General features: G+C 46.3%; 1 protein-coding gene across 3 annotated transcripts in view; it reads left to right on the top strand.

The window, feature by feature from the left end:
- Positions 1–19,171, top strand: part of GGA2 (golgi associated, gamma adaptin ear containing, ARF binding protein 2) — a 60,818-nt gene extending 41,647 nt beyond the window's left edge. For all 3 annotated transcript variants that reach the window (XM_047433801.1, NM_015044.4, XM_047433802.1), the window contains 8 exons: positions 1,943–2,068; positions 2,826–2,948; positions 3,802–3,830; positions 4,212–4,345; positions 7,652–7,809; positions 12,548–12,717; positions 13,717–13,827; positions 15,013–19,171. In XM_047433801.1, coding sequence (XP_047289757.1) covers positions 1,943–2,068; positions 2,826–2,948; positions 3,802–3,830; positions 4,212–4,345; positions 7,652–7,809; positions 12,548–12,717; positions 13,717–13,827; positions 15,013–15,123 — 962 coding nt within the window. In that variant the 3' untranslated portion in view covers positions 15,124–19,171. The remainder of the gene's footprint in view (positions 1–1,942; positions 2,069–2,825; positions 2,949–3,801; positions 3,831–4,211; positions 4,346–7,651; positions 7,810–12,547; positions 12,718–13,716; positions 13,828–15,012) is intronic.

Here is a 26,923-nt window from a genome sequence, read left to right as displayed (position 1 = left end):
AAAAGAAGTGGAAATTGACCATGGAGATTGGGGTGTGAGAGGTAGAAGAAAGATCCCACTGGAGGCTTCAGGAAAAGCTGACCAATCGCAGGGGCCAGAGAAACAGCTGTGGGTGGTGTCTCAAGGGGATCACGGGCTTTTGTACCTTCAGGGGCCAGGTAGGTCAACTAAGAGGGCCAGGCCGATGGGAAATGGAAGGTACATCTGTAAGGAAGTGGAGAATTGTCCACAGTTACTAAAAAAGAATTTTAACTCTTTATTGTGGAAAATCTCGAAACATGAGAGAGGGGAATAGTAAAACCTATATATTCTTCACTCATCTTTAATAATTACCAGCTCATAGCTGATTTTTTTAATCTTACTTCATCTGTACCTCTCTTTGTACACACCCATTCCCTAGTCTGTTTTGAAGCAAATTCTAGACATTTCTTTTTCTTTTAATTATTTTGGAGATGGAGTCTCGCTCTGTCGTCCAGGTTAGAGTGCAGTTGTGCAGTCTTGGCTCACTGCAACCTCTACCTCCCTGGTTCAAGCCATTCTCCTTCCTCAGCCTCCCAAGTAGCTGGGATTATAGGCACCCACCATCACGCCTGGCTAATTTTGTATTTTTGTAAGATGACATTTCACCATTTTGGCCAGGCTGGTTTCAAACTTCTGGCCTCTAGTGATCCGTCTGCCTCGGCTTCCCAAAGTGCTGGGATTACAGGCGTGAGCCACGATCCCCGGCCTCTGGACATTTCAGAATAATCAAAGATTCAGTCAGTGTTCAGATTGCCCTGATAAAATTTCTCCTTAATCATCTCTTGCTAACTTAAAAAAAAAAAATTGTTCTAAATCAGACATAAAAGAAAAGCCATATAATTGGTTTATATTTCTTCTGTCTCTCTTAGTGGATAGCATGTGCATGCCCTCTGCAATCCTTTTTCCTTTTTTTTGAGACAGTCTCACTCTGTTGCTCAGGCTGGAGTCCAGTGGCGTGCTCAGCTCACTGTAGCCTCTACAGCCTTTACATCCTGTGTTCAAGCGATTCTCATGCCTCAGCCTCCTGAGTAGCTGGGACTACAGTTGCGCACCACCACACCTGGCTAATTTTTGTACTTTTAGTAGAGATGGAGTTTTGCCATGTTGGCCAGGCTGGTCTCAAACTCCTGGGCTCAAGTGATTTGCCCGCCTTGGCTTCCCAAAGTGCTGGGATTACAGGCGTGAACCACCACACACAGCCTTTTTTCCTTGCATGAAAATAGGCCCTCTGAATTGACAGTTCTCTCGGTCTCAGTTTTGCTCGTGGCATCCCCCATGATGCTGCTCATGTTCTGTTTCTGATATTTCTTTTTTTCTTGAGATGGAGTTTCGCTCTTGCTGCCCCGGCTGGAGTGCAATGGTGCGATCTCAGCTCGCTGCAACCTCCGTCTCCTGGGTTTAAGCAATTCTCCCACCTCAGCCTCCCGAATAGCTGGGATTACAGGCACCTGCCACGGCTGATTTTTTGTATTTTTAGTAGAAACTGGGTTTCACCATTTTGACCAGGATAGTCTCGAACTCCTGACCTCAGGTGATCCACCCGCCTCGGCCTCCCAAAATGCTGGGATTATAGGCATGAGCCACTGCACAGAGCCAGCAGCTTCAGATTCTGAGTTAAAGTTAAAAGTTTGTTATTGAAAGGGCCTTAATTTGAGTGCTTACTGCTGGCCATTACTCTGGACAGTACAGGTGTAGAAGGTGAACAGATTTGCTTCCTTCTGCATTGAGAACTACTAACATGTTAGGACTCAGGTTAACTGACTAGGCCTGATAGGGTCCGATGACACAACCTGGAGGCAGGAGGTGTGGATAAACTGAACATAGTCTAGCCATATGAAGGCTGTTTTATGGAAAAGCTTAGAAAAGACTGAGATTGTTGGTTGCCAAACCAGGGGGTTCTGAGTCTTCCCTCATTCTTCAGCGGAAATTCTCCAGGCAAATGACCTCCTCACCCAAGGAGTTCTGCTGTACAAACAGGTGATGGAGGGCCGGGTCACCTTTGGAAACAGAGTGACCAGCTCATTGGGAGACATCCCTGTCTCCAGAGGTATGTTTGAAAGCTTCTCCTTGCCTTCTCTGCCTTGGGGCAGCCTGTAATTCCCAGAAAAGAAATGGGTCCTAAACATATTCTGGGTTAAGGAATAGAAATGAGAGAACTCGCCCTTTGTTCCCCTTCCTGTGAAAGTGGATATGTTGCCACACCCAGCCATAGGAATTGTCATGAGCTGGTTGCCGGGCTGGACCCCAGCTTTGACTACACACAAAAGCAGATGGCTAAGCTGTGCCTGCGTTTGAATTCTCATAAATGCTTGCATACAGGAGCTAGAGACAAAAGAAATGATCTTCCTTAGTGGTTCCTAGTGCCAGGTCAGCTGTATCAGAATCACCTGGAGCACTGGTTGAAATGCGGTCCCTGGCTTGGACCTTCTGAATCAAGACTGCTTGGAGCTGGGCCTGGAGGTGTGCGTCTTTCAAGCACTGTGGGTGATTCTAATCAGCTGTGGTCAGAAGCCTCAGAATGGCCTGAGCTGGAGAAGGCCGAATCTGCTTTCCTCCAGAGTGATGGGATCTTTGCAGGAGGGCCTATGATCCCTGGGGTAGGAAGGCAGGCCTTGGCTCCCTCTTGTCTTGGATGCCAGCTGAGCTTGTGTGTCAGGACACTCAGCTGAGTGGAAGGTTCTTGGAAGGGCAGGGAGGGCGTTACCATTTGATTAGGAGGTGGTCTGAGGGAAGCTGATAGGATTTATGTGGAGACTTTGCTCTCATGTCCAACTGACTTCTCTTCCTAACCCTGGGCTTTCTAGTCTTTCAGAATCCAGCAGGCTGCATGAAGACCTGCCCCCTGATTGACTTGGAGGTGGACAATGGACCTGCGCAGATGGGGACTGTGGTGCCATCTTTGCTTCATCAGGACCTGGCAGCCTTGGGTGAGGGCAGGTGCTTGTGGGGAGCAGGCACAGGATGGGTGCGAGTAGGGGAGTGAGCTGGTTCCCTTCGCGGAGCACATGCCTGCTGCTGAGGGAGTCGAGATGGTTGTGAATAGGAAGAGTGAGCTGGTTCCCTCTGGGAGCACGTGCTTGCTGCTGAGGGAGTCAGGATGGGTGTGAGTAGGGGAGTGAGCTGGTCCCCTTGGGAAGCACGTGTCTGCTGCTGAGCAAGTCAGGGAGAGTGTGAGTAGGGGAGTGAGCTGGACCCTCGGAGAACACGTGTCTGCTGCTGAGGGAGCACATACCTGCTGCTGAGGGAATCAGGGTGGTTGTGAGTAGGAGAGTGAGCTGGACCCTCAGGGAGCACATGCCTGCTGCTGAGGGAATCGGGATGGGTGTGAGTAGGGGAGTGAGCTGGTTCCCTCTGGGAGCAAGTGCCTGCTGCTGAGAGAATCAGCAGGGTTCTGAGTAGGGGAGTGAGCTGGTCTCCTCAGGAAGCACATGCCTGCTGCTGAGGGAATCAGGGTGGTTTTGAGTAGGGGAGTGAGCTGGTCCCCTCAGGAAGCACATACCTGCTGCTGAGGCAATCAGGGTGGTTGTGAGTAGGAGAGTGAGCTGGTTCCCTTGGGGAGCACATACCTGCTGCCAAGGGAATCAGGTGTTCTGGGCAGTTCAGAGGGTCCCCCTTGCATATTAGTCACAGATTGGCCATGGACGAGTCACATGACCTTCAGTAAGTTGCTTATTTGTCTAGACTTTCTGGATGTCCTAGAAAGGATGGGTGTGGCATTACTCTTCATCTGGAAGCAGGTGGAGTTACTGTTAGGCATCTCACTCTACTCCTTTCTTACAGGAATCAGTGATGCTCCTGTTACAGGCATGGTAAGGATGCCCTTCCCAGGGCCCGGAGAGAGAATGGGAGGGTCTCAGACCTGCCCTTGTGAGGCAGCACTGCCTGGCGAGCAGAGAGGTGCTCCTGCACTGTCCCGGTGGGATCATGGCCTTGGAGGTCCAAAGCCTCTTCCTCACCCATACTGTCTGGCTGATACCTGGGGGAGACAGGTTGCACCAGGCTCCTGCTTCCTGGAGGTCTGCCCAGGAGCTGCATGTGATCTTGCCCTTTCTTTCCCCTCTTGCCCCAAGAGATGTCACCAGTCTGGGCCACAGCAGCTTGGGTGGGCTCAGGAGAGCTGTGCCTTGGTTTTACTGTGGCTGATGGTCATTCATACCCTGGTCTTATTTTAGCCATTCCTGATTTGACAGGTTTCTGGTCAGAATTGCTGTGAGGAAAAGAGGAATCCCTCCTCCAGCACGCTGCCAGGCGGTGGTGTTCAGAACCCTTCTGCAGACAGGAATTTGCTGGACCTCCTCTCAGCACAGCCAGCTCCGTGCCCTCTGTGAGTCTTCTGGGCAAGGGGAGTGGGAGAGTGTGGCTCCTGAGTGCGGTTCCTTCTCATGGGACAAGGGCCAGAGAATGGTGCTCTAAGACAGCCTCTCGCCCTGGAGAAACATCTTTCTTTCTTTCTTTTTTTTTTTTTTGTCTTTTTTTCTTTTTTTTTTTTTTTTGAGACGGGGTCTCACTCTGTTGCCCAGGCTAGAGTGCAGTGGCACAATCTCGGCTCACTACAGCCTTTACCTCCTGAGTTCAAGCGATTCTCCTGCCTCAGCCTCCCAAGTAGCTGGGATTACAGGCACGCGCCACCATGCCCAGCTAATTTTTTTTTTTTAATTTTTAGTAGAGACGGGGTTTCACCATGTTGGCCAGGCTGGTCTCAAACTCCTGACCTCAGGTGATCCGTCTGCCTGGCCAAGAAACATCTTTCTATTGAAAGTTTAGGCCAGGTGCAGTGGCTCATGCCTTGTACTTGTTTTCACACTGCTGATAAAGACATACCCAAGACTGTGTAATTTAAAAACAAAAAGAGGTTTAATGGACTCATAGTTCCATGTGGCTGGGGAGGCCTCCCAGTCATGGCGGAAGGCAAAAGGCATGTGTTTTTGTTTGTTTGTTTGTTTTTGAGATGGAGTCTCGCTCTGTCGCCCTGGGTGGAGTGCAGTGGCGCGATCTCAGCTCACTGCAACCTCTGCCTCCCAGGTTCAAGCGATTCTTTTGCCTCAGCCTCCTGAGTAGCTGGGATTACAGGCGTGTGCCACCACACCCGGTTAATTTTTTGTATTTTTTTTTAGTAGAGATGGGGTTTCACTGTGTTAGCCAGGATTGTCTCGATCTCTTGACCTCATGATCCGTCTGCCTCAGCCTCCCAAAGTGCTGGGATTACAGGCATGAGCCACCACACTCAGCCAAAAGGCGTGTCTTATGTGGCAGCAGACGAGAGAATGAGAGCCAAACGAAAAAGGGTTTCCCCTTATAAAACCATCAGGTCTCATGAGACTTACTACCGTGAGAACAGTATGGGGAAACTGCACCCATGATTCAGTTATCTCTTACTGGGTCCCTGCTACAACATGTGGGAATTGTGGGTGCTACAATTCAAGATGAGATTTGGGTGGGGACACAGCCAAACCATATCATACCTGTAATCCCAGAACTTTGGGAGGCCAAGGCAGGTGGATCGCTTGAGCCCTGGAGTTCAAGACCAGCCTGGGAGATATGGCAAAACCCCATCTCTACAAAAAATACTAAAATTAGCCAGGCGTGGTAGGTCATGACTGTAGTCCCAGCTGCTCAGGAGGCTGAGGTAGAAGGATCACTTGAGCCCGGAAAGTCGAGGCTGCAGTGAGCCATTACTATGCCACTGCATTCCAGCCTGGGCAGCAGAGTGAGACCCTGTCTCAAAAAAAGTTTAATGTGCTGCTTCCCTTTTCTCATTTTACTTCTTTTCCTAAGTCGTAGGAAAATACCTGCTTTGGCCAAGACATCTGAAAAGAGGTTTATTTAAGGACTAGGAGTAGTAGAACATGAGGTTTTTGCCGTTTGTTTTTGTTTTCCCTTCTAATAACCATATAATTGAAGTTAAGCAAAATTTGATCCATGGAGAAACATACAACAAAGTGCAAAGTGCCACTCCCTAAAAACAAGGTTGAACGTTCCTTTTTTGCTTTTTTTGTATACATGTAGTGGTACATTCCTGTGTCTTGTTACACAAACAGGATTTTAATTTATAAACCGCACTCCAGCATGACCTTTTCATATTATATCTGTGATGCATTTCATATCAGTTTCTATAAATATGCCTCAGTCTTAATAGCTACATTACAATTTATTGCATGGATGTATTTGATCATTTCCCTTTTTTGGACATTTACATAATTTCTGGTTTGGAGGTGCTTGGGGGAGTGCCTTATAGTATAGATCCCTGAAGGGAGAGGTTCTCTAAGGTGTGAATGTAACAACATTTTCATAGATCCTGTCCCTTTGCCTCTGGAAAAGTGCAGCTTACCTTCACCCAAACAGCCTGAAAGTGCCCATGTTCCTGATAGAAACCACCAGGCTCAGGCAGAAGTGGGATGTCCTGGGAGTTCATTCCCATTTGCCACCCAGAGGTCATTTCTTGCAGTCTTCTTTTTTTCAGCCACTCGGGCAGGGTGGGTTATTTCTCCTCTCAGGACTTTAGTTTTCTAAAATGTTTTCAGTTTGTGTCCCAAATGAACAAAATCATGGAGTGGATAGTAGCTGGTATAATTTGTGTATCATCTGCCTGGCTCAAGTCCCTTTGTGATCACACCTGGGAAACAACCTGACTGAGCTACTTATTGTCAGGGACTGCCCGACAGGTACAACATGAACAACCTTCATAACAAAGGCTCTAGGTTATTGGGTTCTTATTATGTGTGGACATTTTAAGTGCTTTTGTTTTTTTCTTTTTTTTTTCCTGAGATGGAGTCTCACTCTGTTGCCCAGGCTGGAGTGCAGTAGTGTGATCTCGGCTCACCACAACCTCCGCCTCCCAGGCTCTAGCCATTCTCCTGCCTCAGCCTCCTGAGTAGCTGGTATTACAAGCGTGTGCCACCACCACCTGGCTAATTTTTTATTTTTTATTTTTTTTTAATTTTTGTATTTTTAGTAGAGATGGGGTTTCACCATGTCGGCCGGGCTGGTCTTGAACTCCTGACCTCAAATGATCCACCTGCCTCGGCCTCCCAAAATGCTGGGATTACAGGCGTGAGCCACCGTGCCCAGCCTCTAAGTGCTTTTCATACATCGTCTCATTTGATTCTTACAGTAGCCCTAGGAGGTAAATTACTTCTGTTATTCCCATTTAACAGATGAGGAAGCTGAGGTATGAGTTCGATTACTTGACAAAAGTCATATAACATCTGGCGCATTAGCTCACGCCTGTAATCCCAGCACTTTGGGAGGCCGAGGCGGACGGATCACCTGAGGTCAAGAGTTTGAGACCAGCGCGGCCAACGTGGTGAAACCCTGTCTCTAATAAAAATACAAAAATTAGTCGGACATGGTGGCAGGTGCCTGTAATCCCAGCTACTCGGGAGGCTGAGTCAGGAGAATCGCTTGAGCCTGGGAGGCAGAGGTTGCAGTGAGCCGAGACTGTTCGATTGCACTCCAGCCTGGGCAACAGAGCGAGATACTGTATCAAAAAAAAAAAAAAAAAAGGCATATAACATCTAACTCTGTGTGTGTGTGTGTGTTATTTTTTCCTTGTTCTTTAATAAGCCTAACCCAGATTCCAGGAAATCGCTACAATTTTTGCTAGTCTTTGATATTTTTTATTTCTTTGTAGGAATTATGTTTCGCAGAAAAGTGTCCCCAAGGAAGTGCCACCAGGTACTAAGTCCTCTCCAGGTTGGTCCTGGGAGGCTGGCCCGTTGGCTCCTTCCCCATCTTCACAGAATACACCTCTGGCTCAAGTGTTTGTCCCTTTGGAGTCTGTTAAGCCCAGTAAGTACAATTTCACTCCCCACCTTTTTTTTTTTTTCCCTGGGAATCTATTAGACTCCCAGCTTTTTCCACTCCAGTTTGATAGAGGTGGCCCTTAAATTTGGTTGATAAATGGGAGAGATTTTGCATGAGGGCAGAAAGTAAGAGGTTGTGGCCAGGTATGGTGACTCACGCCTGTAATCCCAGCACTTTGGGAGGCTGAGGTGGGAGGATCACTTGAGGCCAGGAGTTTGAGACCAGCCTGGGCGACATAGCCTTGTCTCTATTTGGGGGGGAAGAAAAAAATTGGGAGGCCAAGGCAGGTGATCACTTGAGGCCAGGAGTTCCAGACCAGCCTGGCCAACATAACGAAGCCCTCTCTCTACAAAAAATACAAACATTAGCTGGACATGGTGGTGCATGCCTGTAATCCCAGCTACTTGGGAGGCTGAGGCAGGAGAACTGCTTGAATCCAGGAGGTGGAGGTTGCAGTGAGCCAAGATCATGCCACCACACTCTAGCCTGGGTGACAAAGTGAGACTCCGTCTCCAAAAAAAAAAAAAGTTTGCTTCTTTGTCTTTTAGCTGATTTCTTAGCCTTCCTTAGTATTGACACTGTCAAGGATATGGGCAGGCAGAATTTAATTAAAAGGCTTACTTAGGCACATAATGTTCGTTGATTTGGGTTGGGATTCAAGAAGGGAATGTTTAATGTGGCCTGAAATGACTGGCAAGAGGTAGAATTCAAACGAGTGGATGAATTTGGCTAGTGATCCTCCTTCTCTAGGGATCCTCCTTAAGGCAGAAAAGTGGATATTATCTCTGTTAAAAGGGAAGGAAATGGAAGGCTCGGCTAATTAAGGTGCCTACCGTCTCTACACCAGTATGCAGAGCAGGACACAACTCAGGTCGTCTGTTCCAGGGCCTGGACTCTTTAGCACAGAGCCCTCCTATGGCTCTTTGTGGTGAGGTTAGATTGCAGAGAGCCCTGAAAGCCAGGCAGACAAATTTATAAATAAACAGAGTTGATAAACAATGGGAGCTCTTTGCACATTTCTTTATTGATTTTTGATTTAAGAAATAATACATGTTCAATGTTAATTTTCTGAATTCAATAACTGTATTGTAGTTACGATGTTAACATCTGGGGAAGCTACATGAAGGGTATATAGAAATTTTTGTATTAGTTTTATAACTTTTTATAAGTCTGAAATTATTACAAAACAAACTTTAAAAAATAAAAAAGTTAAAAACAAAAATACATGTTCAAAATGTAGAGTTTTATTAAAGATAGAATAGGCCAGACGCAGTGGCTCATGCCTGTAATCCCAGCACTTTGGGAGGCCAAGGTGGGCAGATCACTTGAGGTCAGGAGTTCGAGACCAGCCTGGCCAACATGGTGAAACCCTAAAAATATAAAAATTAGCTGGGTGTGGTAATGTACACCTGTAATCCCAGCTACTCAGGAGCCTGAGCCTGGAGAATCACCTGAACCCAGATGGCAGAAGTTGCAGTGAGCTGAGATCGTGCCACTGCGCTTCAGTCTGAGCAACAGAGAAGACTCTGTCTAAAAAAAAAAAAAAAAAAAAAAAAAAGACTAGAAAAGTAAAATCATCTATACCATTAACAGCCAGAGATGGAAATTCTCTTCATGTCTTGATAGATTTTCTTGTCTTATCATATACATATATATGTACATACAGTTCTTAATAATTTGATACCACAGTGTGTATAGAATGTTTTATACTCTATTTACTGTTACTTTATAAGCCTATACCATTTTTATGCCCTTAGTTGTTCTTTAAAAACTTGATTTTTAATGAACTTATATATATATGCACTATTAAGTAGAGGTACTGTAATCTGTTTATTCAGTCTTTTTTTTTTTTTTTTTGGAGACAGAGTCTCGCTGTCACCCAGGCTGGAGTGTAGCAGCATGATCTCGGCTCACTGCAAGCTTCACCTCCTGGATTCACACCATTCTCTTGCCTCAGCCTCCCGAGTAGCTGGGACACAGGTGCCCACAACCACGCCCAGCTACTTTTTTGTATTTTTAGTAGAGACAGGGTTTCACCGTGTTAGCCAGGATGGTCTCGATCTCTTGACCTCGTGATCTGCCCACCTCGGCCTCCCAAAGTGCTGGGATTACAGGCGTGAGCCACTGCGCCCGGCCCTATTCAGTCTTTTTTTTTAAATTATTTTATTTTATTTTATTTTTGAGACAAGGTCTGGCCCTATCACCCAGGCTGGAGTGCAGTGGCGCCATCTCAGCTTACTACAACCTCCATCCTCCAGGCTCAAGCCATCCTCCCACCTTGGCCTCCCAAGTAGCTGGGACTACAGGCATGCGCCACTATGTCCAGCTTATTAAGTCCTTCTCTGAAGGTCAATTTCTTTCTACCTGTTTGCTGTTAAAAACAGGGCTACAGGCTGGGTGTGGTGGCTCATGCCTGTAATCCCAGCACGTTGGGAGGCCAAGGTGGGTGGAGCACCTGAGGTCAGGAGTTTGAGACCAACCTGGCCAACATGGTGAAACCCTGTCTCTACTAAAAACTACAAAAAAAATTAGCCAGGCGTGGTGGTGGGCGCCTGTAGTCCCAGCTACTTGGGAGGCTGAGGCAAGAGAATCGCTTGAACCTGGGAGGCGGAGGTTGCAGTGAGCTGAGATTGCGCCACTGCACTCCAGCCTGGGTGACACAGTGAGACTGTGTCTAAAAAAAAAAAAAAAAAAAAAAAAAAAACCAGGGCTACAAAGAACATCTTTGGATGCCAGGGCTACAAAGAACATCTTTGGATGCCTTTCTTTATACCTTCCTGATTATGAGGAGATCATAATACCAGTGAAATGCCACATGTAGACATTTAAAATTTTGATCTGCATTACCAATTTCCCGTCTGAAAAGGTTGCTTTTTTTCCCCATACTCTTGCCACCATACCCCACTGGTATTTTCAGTCTCTTAAATCTTTGGTAGTTTCATTGTTAAACTATGTTTTAATTTTTTTTTAAATTTTTTTAGAGATGGGGCCTCGCTCCATCGCCTAGGCAGGAGTGCGGTGGCACAGTCATAGCTCACTGCAGCCTCATATTCTTCTTGGGCTCAAGCAATCCTCCTGCCTCAGACCCCCAGGTAGCTAGAATGACAGGCATGCACCACCACACCCAGCAAATTTTTATTGTCTTTTTGAGGGTGGGAGGCAGATCTCACTGTATTGCCCAGGCTGGTTTTGAACTCCTGACCTCAAGCAGTTTTCCCATTTCAGCCTCCTGAGTAGCTGGGATTACAGGCATGAGACACCATACCCAGCTCTAAGCTATATTTTAGTAATGTATATTTTGATATTAAGGTTTTTTTTTTAGCTGATTAACCAGTCTGAGTGCCATTCATTGAGCCAGCCCTGATTTTTGAAGGATATGTTATGTTACAGTCTCATTTAGATCTGTTCCACACGTTTTGTTTATGTCACTTTACTTGAATTGTAATTTTATCTGAGTATTTGCTATAGCCCTGCCCCCCTTTTTAAATTTATTGGTCAGTCTTACATAGTTTTCCCCCCTCAAATAAACATTAGAGTCACTCCTTAGCTAAATTAAAAGTCTCTTTAGAATTTCCATTGGAATGTTATTAAACTTATTAATTTGAGGTGATTTGGTATCTACAGTTTTGTACAATTAAATATAAGGTGGTATATTGTGTGTGTGTGAGCATATGTGTGTGTTTGTACTCATATAAAAGAGACCAGAAGGAAGTAAGTGCTTATTTCTGGGTAGAATTAAGAATGCATTGGCCGGGTGCAGTGGCTCACGCCTGTAATCCCAGCACTTTGGGAGGTCAAGGTGGGCGGATCACCTGAGGTCGGGAGTTTGAGGCCTGACCTCCCCCAGCCTGACCAACATGGAGAAATCCCATCTCTACTAAAAACACAAAAATTAGCCAGGCGTGGTGGTGCATGCCTGTAATCCCAGCTACTAGGGAGGCTGAGGTGGGAGAATCGTTTGAATCCGGGAGGCAGAGGTTGCGGTGAGCCAAGATCATGCCATTGCATTCCAGCCTGGGCAACAAAAGCGAAAGTCTGTCCAAAAAAAAAAAAAAAAAAAAAAGCATTTATTTCATTTTTTAATGATAATCCTGTTTTTGTGTGTGTGTGGCTTTTTGTTTTTTGTTTGTTTGTTTGTTTGAGACAGAGTCTCGCTCTGTCACTTAGGCTGGAGTGCAGTTCATTGCAACCTCCGCCTCCCGAGTTCAAGTGATTTTCGTGCCTCAGCCTCTCAAATGGCTGGGATTACAGGTGTGTACCACCATGCCCAGCTAATTTTTGTATTTTTAGTAGAGATGGGGTTTTGCCATGTTGTCCAGGCTGGTCTTGAACTCTTAACCTCAAGTGATCCACCCGCCTTGGCCTCCTAAAGTGCTGGGATTACAGGCGTGAGCCCCCACGCCTGGCTGATAATTCTCTATTTTCTATAGTGTTCATGCATTATTTTAATAATGATCGTATCTTCCTCAAAAATGTGATTTTTAATAACTGGTGGTGTGTGTATGATGGTTGGATGGTGGGGAAAGGTCAGTTTGGAGGGTCATAGGAGTCCAGCTAGAGTCATGAGGACTTGGATTATGGTAGTGCAGAGGAATTCAGTCCTGGACATGTTCTGCATGGAGAAGCAACAGCATCTGGGGATAACATGTACATCTCTTTCCAGCCTGGCTGTCCGGGGGGTTTGTAGTGGTGTTAAACCTTCTGCTTGTGCCCTTTATACCAGGCAGCCTGCCGCCTCTCATTGTGTATGACCGGAATGGATTCAGAATTCTGCTCCACTTCTCCCAGACGGGAGCCCCTGGGCACCCAGAGGTACAGGTGCTGCTCTTGACCATGATGAGCACGGCTCCCCAGCCTGTCTGGGATATCATGTTTCAAGTGGCTGTGCCAAAGGTGAGTCATCTGTTGGGGATTTCTCAGTAATGGCTGTCGTTTTTGAGTGCCAGGTTCTTTTCTGGGACTTACCTGTCGAGTGTCAAGGAAAGAATCTTCACTCAAACTAACTGAAGATAAAGTGGGAATGTAATGGCTTACCTGACTGGGGATTCCTGAATATCTGACTTCAGATATGAGTGAATCCAAATAGGTTCTTAAACAATGCCTTAAGAATCTGTATCTCTTGACTCTGCTTTTCTTTGGCACCATTCTGACAGTTTCTCCACAAACAGGAAAGTGGCTACCCACAGCTCCAGGGTTGCATGGTCCTTAACCCTCTTTATCTCAGAAACTCTCACCGGGCATGAAGCACATATATTGATTACCCAGGAAAGGGCTCTGATTGGGCTTGTTGGTGTTACTTCCATACCTTGGACCAGGAACTTGTATCCTGGGATATGAGACACTTGGCCAATGTGAGATAACATCCATCCCTTTTCAAGGGAAGTGGGGCCCTACTGATTAACAGGCACCCCACAGTCACAGGGGAAGGGGCCTGTCCTGAAAGGAAAAGATTCGAGACAGACAAAAATATGACCTGCAGTCTCTACTTCTTACGGTAGTCCTATGGGCAATGTTCTGCTACTACCTCTGTTTTATAAGTTAACCCAAGGCTCAGAAATTAAATATTTTACTCAAGGTCACAGAGCTAGTGAGAAGCAGTTAGAATTCAACCCAAGATGTGCCCTGGCTGTTGATGCTGCGTCTCAGATGCCGGTTATTGACCACACAACTCCCGATCCATTCTGTGTGTGGAAGGAAAGGCCTCTTAGATCCTTTTATCAATTAGTGGGAGTCTGTCTGCTTGGGCTCCCATAGGTGCCTCGGGGTACCACGTTTAAGAGGGCCATTTCCTCTTGGAGGGGTGTTGGGGAGGTCCAGCTCCCCCTCACCTGATCTCCATCCTAGAAGCTGTGGTTAGGAATGAGTTACATGTTGGTTTTCTTCCCCTGATAGTCAATGAGAGTGAAGCTGCAGCCGGCATCCAGCTCCAAGCTTCCTGCATTCAGTCCTTTGATGCCTCCAGCTGTGATATCTCAGATGCTGCTGCTTGACAATCCACACAAAGTATGTTCCAGTGTCTGTGGTAGCAGGGAGATGGGGGCCCCTGAACTGTAAGGGGAGGTAACTTTGTGGGTAGAGAGAGGCACATTGAGGCCTTGCTCTAAAGTCTCTGGTTTGCTGGGCACAGTGGTTCACCCCTGTAATCCCAGCACTTTGGGAGGCTGAGGCAGGTGGACCACCTGAGGTCAGGAGTTTGAGACCAGCCTGGCCAACATGGTGAAACCCCATCTCTACTAAAAATACAAAAATTAGCTGGTTGTGGGGGCACGCACCTTTAGTCCTAGCTGCTCAGGAGGCTGAGGCAGGAGAATTGCTTGAACCCAGGAGGTGGAGGTTGCAGTGAGCCGAGATCGCACTACTGCACTCCAGCCTGGGCAACAGAGCAAGACTCCATCTCAAAAAAAAATAAAGTCGGCCAGGTGCAGTGGCTCACGCCTGTAATCCCAGCACTTTGGGAGGCTGAGGCAGATGGATCACGAGATCAAGCGATCGAGACCATCCTGGCCAACATGGTGAAACCCCATCTCTACTAAAAATACAAAAATTAGCTGGGCATGGTGGCGTGCGCCTGTAGTCTCAGCTACTCGGGAGAGTGAGGCAGGAGAATTGCTTGAACCCAAGAGGCGGAGGTTGCAGTGAGCCAAGATCGCACCACTGCACTCCAGCCTGGTGACAGAGCGAGACTCTATCAAATAGATAGATAGATAGACAGACAGACAGATAGATGAAAGAGAGAGAGAGGGAGGGAAGGAGGAAAGGAAGGAAGGAGAAGAGAAAAAGAAAAGAAAGTCAGTCTCTGGTTTGGTTGGGTGTTAGGGGTATATGTGGAATATCCCTCGCTGGAGTCTGTCTTTGGGGCTCACTGAAGGAAGATCAGATGGATTGTCATAGCTGGGGACCAAGGGAGGGACACATGAACTCTCCCTAATCCTCTGGAGTCCTCTGAAAGGACAAGGTCTGTCTTCCTTAGCTGGTCTCTGAATTGCAGCCCATCTCAGGATTTCAGGACTGCAGAATTATCGAAGGGTTCCCAGGATATGTGCCTGTTTCCCCTTGTTTGTAGTCCCAAAGAGAGTATCCCAGGTATTTTGTGTCAGAATTGTTTGAAACACTCACTTGACTTAACATTGACCCCTGTTCCTGGGTTGCTCTCCACTGATTTGACATCTTCTGTCTCTTCTGTCCCAGGAACCTATCCGCTTACGGTACAAGCTGACATTCAACCAAGGTGGACAGCCTTTCAGCGAAGTAGGAGAAGTGAAAGACTTCCCAGACCTGGCTGTCTTGGGCGCAGCCTAACTTTTCACAAGATGGACCCTTCATTTCAAGCTTAGGCTGGCGTTACTTTTGCTGTCTAGTCAGGACTAATCACGGTGTTTCAGTGCGGAGTGCCAAGAGTCCTATCCTGACGTCAGGCTCTGGGTGTCAACCTCTGACTTATTCTGCAGATGCTCTGTGTGTGTGTGTGTGTGTGTGTGTGTGTGTGTGTGTGTGTGTGTGTTCGGGGAGAGGGTGGTAGCACAGGGCTTGGGATATCGGCAGTGTGGGAAATGCGAAGCATTTCTCATCATCATCATCTCTGCTACAGTCATGTTTCTGCATGTCAGCGAGCGACACTGTCCCTGCCTCAGGTTGGAGGTTTTATCAGCCAAAGTGTTTTTTTCATGTATCGTTCGTTCCATTCATCCACTCTGTGCCTTGTCAGCCTTTGAAAGGCTTGGTTGCTCCCAGGCTGCTGTTCTCAGGGACCTTAAAAGGGACCTGGTTAGTCTTGGGGCAGAGAGTATCTACTTGGGCACTCTCTTCCAAGAAAGACCTTGTCTCCATTTTCATTAGACAATGCTTCTTGTGTGTGTTCTGGAAGATCTTCTAAATGGAATGCTTGTTGCACTGTTCCCAGGCGAGTGGCTGCCATGAGACCTGAGGACCACACTTGGGGGACCAATCATGTCCTTCACCACTGTGCCTTAGAATCGCCCCTGGACAGAGTTCCTGGGCAGAGGGGAAAGCAGCTCCCAGGCCTTACTCAGGCCTCAGGTCCATGGGTTGGGCAGCCAGTCTGGGCCCTTCTCAGGATCCTCATCTCCATCCTCATCCTCTTCCTTCACAGCATTTACTTGGAGCTCTTTGTGACACACCATGTCAGTCATGATGAATCGGCCAACAGCCAGCCCTTGCCAGCTGACGTCACAGTCTAAGATGGGAAACTGTGGTACAGATAGACATGAAGAGAGCTTAGCAGTGATTGAGGTGGTGACTAAATATACAGTCATTGAATAAATACCATGTAGCAAGTGTACTTTGTGGAGTGTTGAGTAAGTGGAAAATGGAAAGCCAGTTGCATTTAGAGATGATAGGCCTAAAGGGAACTGTCTTCTGTCGAGAAGTAAAGGAAACTTCATGAAGGATGTAGAAGCTTAGCTGCCTCAGAGAAGAGAGAACCTGAAGATCTGAGGCAAGCTGGACAGGAGAGGTGGATATTTGTTGATGGAAGAATTCAAGTTTATAATCAATTCCCACTTAGCACCTACTGTGTGCTAGGAACTTGAATGTGTATGTTTGACAAGTCCTGCTTGGCCTGATGGGTGGGAGAAGGAACCTGAGCCTGGCTGAGATGGCTAGGCGGAGGGCTTTGAAGTCCAAGCAGCTGAACTGGCTGGGTGGGTTTCTACCTTTGAAACTGCAAGACTTGTTTGGAGCTCTTAATTACAATATCTGATATTTTTACAGTCTGATCTTTTGACTTCTACATATAGTGGAAATCTGCCAATACTAATTGGTGGAGATGGGAACTGTAAAAGATCAAGTATGCTAATTTTAAGCAAATGTAAAAACTCATAAAACAGGTAAACAGTGGGGTGATTTCATTTGCCATAATTCACATAAGACGAATTTTAATCTAAAAGTACTTTCTTGCTTGTATTCTGTGTGGCTTTTTTTTGTTTTTTGAGGCCATATCTCACTCTGTCACTCAGGCTGGAGTGCGGTGGTATAATCTCAGCTCACTGCAATCTCTGCCTACCAGGTTCAAGCGATTCTCGTGCCTCAGCCTCTCGAGTAGCTGGGACTACAGGCGTGAGCCAGCACGCCCAGCTAATTTTTGTATTTTTAGTAGAGACAGGATTTCACCATGTTGGCCAGGCTGGTCTCGAACTCCTGACCTCAGGTGATCCGCCTGCCTTGGCCTCCCAGAGTGCTGGGATTACAGGCGTGAGCCACCGCACCCGGCCTCTGTGTAGCTTTTATAGGCTCTGTTACTGTTGCGTAGTCTTGAAGAGGTACCCATCATAATGACAGCATCTCCCTCTGAAGGGTTTTGGTCAAAATGGGTGAATGAGACTTATACATAAAGACAGGCTTTCTCCCCTATAGTTAGGAGGTGAACTCACACATGTGTACCTGAACATTCTTGCTTTTGAGGAGACAGACTCCCAGTGGTACTACTATGCTTAGGTGTTGGACAGGATAGGGGTAGGAGGAGAGGAGGCAGGCTGCTGTCCTGAAAGTGGCTGTGGTTTATGGCATCACTCCCTTCTAATCAGCAAGTCCAGTGGCCACTTAGAGCCCAGCTCCTACCTCTTCATTCACTTAACAAGTAGTTATTGGCTGTGCACAGTGGCTCACGCCTATAATCCCAGCATTTTGGGAGGCTGAGTGGGATGACCGCTTGAGCCCAGGATTTCAAGTCCAGCCTGGGCTACATAGTGAGACCGTGTCTCTGTTTTTTTAAAAGCTAGTTGTTGACCAGCTACCCTGAGCCAGGCACCACCCTGAAGGAGCTTCTTTTCCTCTGGGGAGAAGCAAATTCATGATGTGTGTGCTGGAGATCTGGCACTCATGGCCAGTGCTTTCCAGTATCTTGAACTCTTCGGGGGTCCTGTTGACCCATTTCGTGACCTACCTCCGTGACTGCTCTTTTTCCTCTGTCTCTTAAGTGTGATGGTTTTCCAGAGTCCAATCCTCAGGACTTTCCCGTCCACACACAGGCCTGGTAGTCAGGTGGCTCTAAACCATTAGGTGGGTTGTAGACCTCTCTCAAGCTGCCACCTCCTTGCTGTCGCCAGATCGTATTTCAGTCTGTCAGGGGTTATCTGTATCTGGAGGTTCCACTGTTGCTTCAGTCTCAGTTACTTAGAATGGAACCCAGAGTCCTGCCCCTTTCCACCTACATGCTCTTACTTGAAAGCACCTGAGACTTATTGGGTCCCTGATTCCTGCTTCGTCTGTATCCGCAGAGTAGTTGCATGTCATTTGGCCTGTTTTCTAAATAATCCCACATCATGTCCTCCCTGCACTTACATTGCCACTGCTCTGATTTGGGCTTTTTTTTTTTTGGGACAATGCCTCTGTCCCAATTCTGAGTAACAGCTCTGGTTCTTGCCACTACCAGAGTTCTCTAGCAAATCTGAGCATCTGACAGGGTGAAAAATTCTGAATGGCTTCCTGATGCCTGACTTTATGGGATCAAATTCAAGTTGCACGCTGGCACTCAGTGCCCTTCTGGTATCATCTGCCAAGACCAGGGCCTGCTTCACCACAGCCACAATAAAGTCCTTTCAAGCCCTGATAATGCCATGTTTTGTCCTAACCTTTTGCTGCAGTTAATTACTCTTCCTATTATCTTCCATGAACTTAAGACTGGGCAAAAATGTTTCCTTATCTGTGAGCCACTCTGAACACAAACAGGTCATGAAGATAGTGTTGAAAACAATAAATGACAACCAAAAGAAAAGTGAATATTACCTAGTACAAATAGTGTAAATTGAGACAGAAAATGTTAAAGCTAGAAAGCAAGGGCAATATTCTAGAATACAAATAGTGCTTGCCTACTACAATATTAATCCCAAATCCTTTAAATATACCCATTATAGAAGATGCTTACCCAGCGTCAAGAGTATAAAAGTGGGTTTGTTTGTTTTCTTGAGACAGGGCTTTGCTCTGTTGCCCAGGCTGGAGTGCAGTGGCGTGATTGTAGCTCAATGCAGCCTTGAATTCCTGTGTTCAGGCGATCCTCCGGCTTCAGCCTCTGGAGTAGCTGGGACTACAGGTGCATGCTGCCACGCCCAGCTAATGTTGCAGTTTTTCGTAAAGACTGGATCTCTGTGTTACCCAGGCTGGTCTCCTGGGCTCAAGCAGTCCTCCTGCCTTGACCTCCCAAAGTGCTGGGATTACAGGCATGAGCCACCATGTCCTGACCCCAGTTTGTTTTAAAGCCAAGCGATGCACCAAGATGTTTGTGTGCACATCTGACAGTGGTAATCTTTGGGTCAGGGAATTATAGATAAATTTTCTTTAAATTTTTTCTGAGCTTTCTAAAATCAGCTGAAAATAAAACCTTATTTTTTTATGCTCAGTGTCGTCTTTTTTAAGATAAAGACATTGACATGATTCAAAATTATGAAAGGTGAAAATTCTTCCCACCCAGTTACCATCCTCTGTCTTTTCAGAGGGATTCTAGGCATGTTCAAGAAAATATAGTATACTGTTCTGTGTTTTGTTCTTTTCATGTAACACCATAGATAGCTTGGAGAAAATGCCATTATCAATATGAATTACTTAGAAACATAACCCCGCTCTCTTCCCTGAGCTCATATGGTACAAATCAAGCACTTATGTGTTGAAAGTGCTGCATGTTAAAACTCTGGGGTAGCAGTTCCCTCATAGTTTCCTTGTATCCTCTCCCTCCCGCTGGCACCATTCCCAGGCAGCCAAGCAGGCCGGACTTTTCCCTGGCAACCCTCTCGCCTCAATTCTGGCAGCCCTGTGCGCTAGAGTGAACCAAGTGTGGGCTGGGGAGTCAGGTTTAATTTCTAGTTTTTTACCATCTATGTAGCATGTTGGGCAAGTCAGTGGTCTCTGGGCCTCAGTTTTTATATCCGTAAATGGTAAAAATGTTAGAAGTCTACTTCACACATTTTGGTGAGAATGTCATGAGGTGTACAAAATAGCAGATAGGATATTCTATAAATTTAGGTGCGCTAGAGTGAACCAAGTGTGGGCTGGGGAGTCAGGTTTAATTTCTAGTTTTTTACCATCTATGTAGCATGTTGGGCAAGTCAGTGGTCTCTGGGCCTCAGTTTTTATATCCGTAAATGGTAAAAATGTTAGAAGTCTACTTCACACATTTTGGTGAGAATGTCATGAGGTGTACAAAATAGCAGATAGGATATTCTATAAATTTAGGTGCTATTTCTCAAATCACCTTCACATCTGAGATTTTCTTAACTGTTGTAACAGTGGTGACTTCCATTTCATCACTGTTCATTTCACAGCCTCTCCTGCTCTCATAAAACCACAGAAATTGTTCTAAGAATACTGATAACTTATGAATATTTTTATAGGCAGCAGAAAAGGTTGATACTTTTAATAAAATCTGACCATACCAGCTGGGCGTGGTGGCTCACACCTGTAATCCTAGCAGTTTGGGAGGCCAGGGCGAAGGATCATGAGATTAGGAGTTCAAGACCAGCCTGGCCATGTACTAAAAGTACAAAAATTAGCTGGAAATCGCTCGAACCCAGAAGGTGGAGTTTGCAGTGAGCCGAGATCGTGCCACTGCACTCCAGCCTGGGCAACACAGCAAGACTCCGTCTCAAAAAAAAAAAAAAAATCTGACCATACCCTTTGTTAAGATCAGGATCAGCTGCAATAAACAAACCCAAAGTAACAGTCGAAATGTTTATTTTTCTCTGTATTAGTTCCTTAGAACTGCTATGACAACGTGCCGCAAGCTGGGTGGTTTAAGTCAACAGATGTGTTGTCTGAGTTCTGTGGGGTGGGAGTCTAATATTGGAGCCATGGTGCTCCCTCCCTCTTGGTGGTTGCTGGCTTCCACCATCTTTGACTTCCTTAGCCTGTAGCTGCATAACTCCAGCCTTTGCCTTCATTGTCACGTGGTGTTCTCCTTGTGCCTTCTTTACAGACCATTTTTTTTCTTTTTTTTTAAGAGACATGCTGGAGTGCAGTGGCATGGTCATAGCTCACTGCAGCCTCAAACTCCTGGGCTCTAGGGATCCTCCCAATTTGGCCTCCCAAGTAGCTAGGATTACAGATGCGTGCTGCCACACCTGACTAAGTTTTAGATTTTTGTAGAGATGAGGGCCTCACCGTGTTGCCCAGGCTAGTCTTGGACTCCTGGCCTCCCAAAGTGCTGGGATTACAGGCATGAGCCACCATGCCTAGCCTGACCCTACTGCATCTCTAATCATATTTAATTAGTACTGCATATCTTTTTGGATTAAATAAAATCAATTGCCCTAGCATTCAAGTTTCTCTACAGCATGGCCTCATCTCAGCTTTAGTTTCCTCTTTTGGAAATAGAAATACTACCTGCCTTAACTCAAAAGGCTGTGAGGAAACTGTGTGGTGGCTCGAGCCTGTAATCCCAGCACTTTGGGAAGCTGAGATGGGAGGATTGCTTGAGCCCAGGAGTTTGAGACCACCCTGGGCAACACAGTGAGACCCCTGTCTCTACAAAAAAATTACCTGGGAATGGTGGCATGTGCCTGTAGTCTCAGCTACTTGGGAGGCTGAGGTGGGAGGTTGGCTTGAGCCCAGGAGGCAGAGGTTGCAGAGGAGGCAGTGGTGAGACAAGATCACACCACTGCACTCCAGCCTGGGTGGCAGAGCCAGACCCTGTCTCCAAAAAGGCGGAAACTGTCATACTGGATTGAAAACACCACCACCACCAAATTCCAACTCTATGCTGTCTGCAAAAGGTACACTTAGGTTCACAAATCAGTTGGAAGTAAAGGATAAAAAATTAGCCATGCAAGTAGTAATAAGAAAGCTGGAGTGGCTGTGTTAATATCACACAAAATACTTTTTTTTCTTTTTTTTGAGACAGTCTTGTTCTGTCTCCCAGGCTGCAGTGCAGTGGTGTGATCTCACCTCACTGCAACCTCCACCTCCTGGATTCAAGCGATTCTCCTGCCTCAGCCTCCCGAGTAGCTGGGATTACAGGCGCCCACCACCATGCCTGGCTAATTTTCGTATTTTTAGTAGAGACGGTTTCACCATGTTGGCCAGACTGGTCTTGAACTCCTGACCTCAAGTGATTCGGCCTCCCAGAGGGCTGGGATTACAGGTGTGAGCCACCGCACCTGGCATAAAAATAGACTTTAAGACAGAAATATTACTAGAGACAGAAAAGAACATTTAATAATGATAAAAGGTGAATATACCAGGAAGACATAAAATTATAAAATGTATATGCACCTCACATCAAAGCCCCAAAATACCTAATGCAAAAATTAAATAGAATCAAATGTAAAAATGGATGATTCAATAATAACTGGAGGCCAGGTATGGTGGCTCATGCCTGTAATCCCAGCACTTTGGGAGGCTGAGGTGGATGGATCACGTGAGGTTAGGAGTTTGTGACCAGCCTGACCAACATTGAGAAACCCTGTCTCTACTAAAAATACAAAATTAGCCGAGTGTGGTGGTGCATGCCTGTAATCCCAGCTACTTGGGAGGCTGAGGCGGGAGAATCACTTGAACCTGGGAGGCGGGGGTAGTGGTGAGCCAAGATCACACCATTGCACTCCAGCCCTGCCAACAAGAGCAAACTCCATCTCCAAAAAAAATAAATAAATAAATAATAGGGCCGAGTGCAGTGGCTCACACATGTAATCCCAGTACTTTGGGAGGCCAAGGCGGGTGGATCACGAGGTCAGGAGTTCGAGACCAGCCTGACCAACATGGTGAAACACCGTCTCTACTAAAAAATACAAAAATTAGCCAGGCATAGTGGCACATGCCTATACTCCCAGCTACTCAGGAGGCTGAGGCAGAAGAATCGCTTGAACGCGGGAGGCAAGGTTGCAGTGAGCTGAGATCGCACCACTGCACTCCAGCCTGGGCGACAGAGCAAAACTCTGTCTCAAAATAATAATAATTGGAGATCTAAATACCTTACCTTCAGTAATGACAGAACAACTACATAGAAAATCAGCAAGTATATAAAATAGTTGAACAACACTATTAATGTAGCTAAAATATATATGACACTCCACCCAATAACTGCAGATATATATTTTCAAGTGCACATGGAACAGTCTTCAGGATAGACCAATGCTAGGCCATAAAACAAGTCTCAATAAATTTAAAAGAATTTAAGGGCTGGGCACGGTGGCTCAGGCCTGCAATCCCAGCACTTTGGGAGGCTGAGACAGGGGATTGCTTGAATCTGCAGGGGATTTTGAAACCAACCTTAACAGCAAAGCAAGATGCCATCTCTATAAATAATAAAAGAATATAAACCAGCCGGGTGCGGTGGCTCACGCCTGTAATCCCAGCACTTTTGGAGGCCAAGGCGGCTGGATCACAAAGTCAAGAGATGGAGACCATCCTGGCCAACATGGTGAAATCCTGTCTCTACCAAAAATTCAAAAATTAGCTGGGTAGGCTGGGCGCGGTGGCTCACGCCTGTAATCCCAGCACTTCGGGAGGCCAAGGCAGGCAGATCACGCGGTCAGGAGATCGAGACCATCCTGGCTAACACGGTGAAACCCCGTCTCTACTAAAAATACAAAAATTAGCCGGGTGTGGTGGCGGGTGCCTGTAGTCTCAGCTACTCGGGAGGCTGAGGCAGGAGAATGGCGTGAACCCGGGAGGCGGAGCTTGCAGTGAGTGGATATTGTGCCACTGCACTCCAGCCTGGGCCACAGAGCAAGGCTCTGTCTCAAAAAAAAAAAAAGCCAGGTGTGGTGGCAGGTGCCTGTAGTCCCAGCTACTTGGGTGGCTGAGGCAGGAGAATCGCTTGAACCTGGGAGGTGGAGGTTGCAGTGAGCCAACATCGTGTCACTGCACTCCAGCCTGGAGACAGACTGGGACTTCGTCTCAAAAAAAAAAAAAAAAGAATATAAATCATACCAAGTATGTTTTCCAATCACATGGAATTGAATTAGAAATCAACAACAGGAAATCCAAGAAATACCCAATTATTTGGAAATTAAACAACATGCTTCTAAATAACCCATGGGTTAAATGAGTCACAAGAAAAATTTAAAAACATTTAGAATCAAACAAAAATGAAAACATCAAAATTTATGAATTACAGCTAGAGCAATGCTTCAGAGGAAATTTTTTTTTTTTTTTTTGAGACAGAGTCTTGCTCTGTTGCTCAGGCTGGAGTGCAATGGCGTGCATGATCTTGGCTCACTGCAACCTCCGCCTCCTGGGTTCAAGTGATTCTCCAGTCTCAGCCTCCTGAGTAGCTGGGACTACACGTGCCCACCACCACGCCCGGCTAGTTTTTGTATTTTTAGTAGAGACAGGGTTTCACCATATTGGTCAGGCTGGTCGTGAACTCCTGACCTCAGGTGATCCAACCACTTCGGCCTCCCAAAGTGGTGGGATTACAAGTGTGAGCCACCGCAGCCGGCCTCAGAGGAAATTTTTTTTAGAGACGGTCTCACACTGTCACCCAGGCTGGAGTGCAGTGGCACTGTTATAGCTCACTGCAGCCTCAAATTCCTGGGCTCAAATGATCTCTGGCCTTTCAGGCTTTTGAGTAGCTGGAACTACAGTTGCAAACCACCATGGCTAGATAATTTTTTTTAACTTTTTGTAGAGACAGTGTCTTGCTTTATAATTTTATTTTTTGTTTTTATTTTTTCCTAGCCATTAGACTATGAGGGAAAAATTAGTAATTTTAGATGCCTATATGAGAAAATAAAGTATTTAAAATCAGTAACCTAAGATTCTACTTTAATATACCAAAGAGCAAACTAAATTCAAAGAAGGAAACTGATTAGCATAGAGATCAATAATAGAAAATGAAAAATAGAAAAAAATTAAAGTCAAAGTTGAATAGAAAAAAAATTAACAAAGTCAAAATAGGTTCTTTTTTTTTTTTTTTTTTGAGACACAGTCTTGCTCTATCACCCAGGCTGGAGTGCAGTGGCCTGACCTCGGCTCACTGCAATCTCTGCCTCCCAGGTTCAAGCAATTATCCTGCCTCAGCCTCCTGAGTAGCTGGGATTACAGGCGCCAACCACCACGGCTGGCTAATTTTTGTGTTTTTAGTAGAGACGGGGTTTCACCATGTTGGCCAGGCTGGTCTCAAACTCCTGACCTCAGATGATCTGCCCGTATTGGCCTCCCAAAGTGCTGGGATTATAGGCGTGAGCCACCGCACCCGGCCTGCAGCTGATTCTTTTAAAAGAGCAACAGAATTCACAAATTTCAGCAGACTGACCAAGGGAAAAAAAAATTACCAAAGTCAGGAAAGAACAGGCAGACGTCACAATTCTACAGATGAGAAAAGACTATATGAGGATCCTTTGAACAATTTTATGCCAACAAATTATACAACTTGGATGAAATGGACAATTATTTTTGAGATGGAGTCTTGCTCTGTTGCCCTGGCTGGAATGCAGTGGTACAATCACGGCTTCCTCCAACCTCCGCTTCCCAGGCTCAAGCAATCCTGCCTCAGCCTCCCTAGCAGCTGGGACTACAAAAAAAACACAAAATAAAAAAAAATTTAAAAAAATTAGCCATGCAAGTGTAATCATAAGAAAGCTGGAGTGGCTATGTTAATATCACATACAATAGACTTTTTTTTTTTTTTTTAGACAAAGTCTTGCTCTGTCTCCCAGGCTGCAGCGCAGTGGCGCAATCTCACCTCACTGCAACCTCCACCTCCTGGATTCAAGCAATTCTCCTGCCTCAGCCTCCCAAGTAGCTGGGATTACAGGCACCCACCACCATGCCCGGCTAATTTTTGTATTTTTAGTAGAGACGAGGTTTCACCCTGTTGGCCAGGCTGGTCTCGAACTCCCGACCTCAAGTGATTCGGCCTCCCAAAGTGCTGTGATTACAGGTGTGAGCCACCGCACCTGGCCTAAAACCGACAATTTTTTTTTTTTTTTTTTTGGGTGGAGTCTTGCTCTGTTGCCCAGGCTGGAGTGCAATGGCGCAATCTCCACCTACTGCAACCTCCGCCTCCTGGGTTCAAGCAATTCTCCTGCCTCAGCCTCTCGAGTAGCTGGGATTACAGGTGTGTGCCATCATGCCCAGCTAATTTTTGTATTTTTAGTAAAGACAGGGTTTCACCCTATTTGGGCCAGGCTGGTCGCGAACTCCTGACCTCAAGCTATCCGTCGCCTTGGCCTCCCAAAGTGTTAGGATTACAGCACTTTGTGCCTGGTCCCAAGATTCATTTGCCATCTTAAAATCAATTACTATATCATTTGAATAGAATGTGACAAGAACCACATGATTATCTCAATAGGCAGAGAAAAAAAAATACAAAATCCAACATCCTAAAAAAACTCTCAACAAACTAGGAATAGAAAGGGACTTCTGGCCGGGTGCGGTGGCTCACGCCTGTAACCCAGCACTTTGGGAGGCAGAGGCAGGTGGATCACCTGAGGTCATGAGTTCGAGACCAGCTTGGCCAACATGGTGAAACCCCGTCTTTAGTAAAAATATGAAAAATTAGCCACATGTGGTGGTGGGCACCTCTAATCCCAGTTACTTGGAAGGCTGAGGCAGAAGAATCGCTTGAACCCGGGAGACGGAGGTTGCAGTGAGCCGAGATTGCGCCATTGCACTCCAGCCTGGGCAAAAAAAGCAAAACTCCGTCCCCCCGCGCCCGCCCCCCCAAAAAAAAATTGCAAAGGAAAAAGTGTCTATTCACAGATGACATGATCCTGTATGTAAACAAATCCCAACCAACACCCCAACACACAAACTAGAAGACAAATTTAACAGTCAAATGGTACAAGATAAATCTATAAAAATCAATTGTTGCTGAGTGTGGTGGCTCACGCCTGTAATCCCAGCACTTTGGGAGGCTGAGGCAGGTGGATCACCTGAAGTCAGAAGTTCAAGACCAGCCTGGCCAACATGGCAAAACCTCGTCTCTACAAAAATTAGCTGGGTGTGGTGACACATGCCTGTAATCCCAGCTACTTGGGAGGCTGAGGCAGGAGAATTGCTTGAATCTGGGAGACGGAGGTTGCAGTGAGCTGAGATTGCCCTGCTGTACTCCAGCCTGTGTGACAAAGCAAGACTCCATCACACACACACACACAAAATCATTTTTCTGTAACAAGAAACTATGAAAATTAAGAAAATTCCATTCATG

The sequence above is a fragment of the Homo sapiens genome, chromosome 16, assembly GCF_000001405.40.
Source record: "Homo sapiens chromosome 16, GRCh38.p14 Primary Assembly".
Classification (NCBI taxonomy): Eukaryota; Metazoa; Chordata; class Mammalia; order Primates; family Hominidae; genus Homo; species Homo sapiens.
This window is presented reverse-complemented; position numbering and strand designations above follow the sequence as displayed.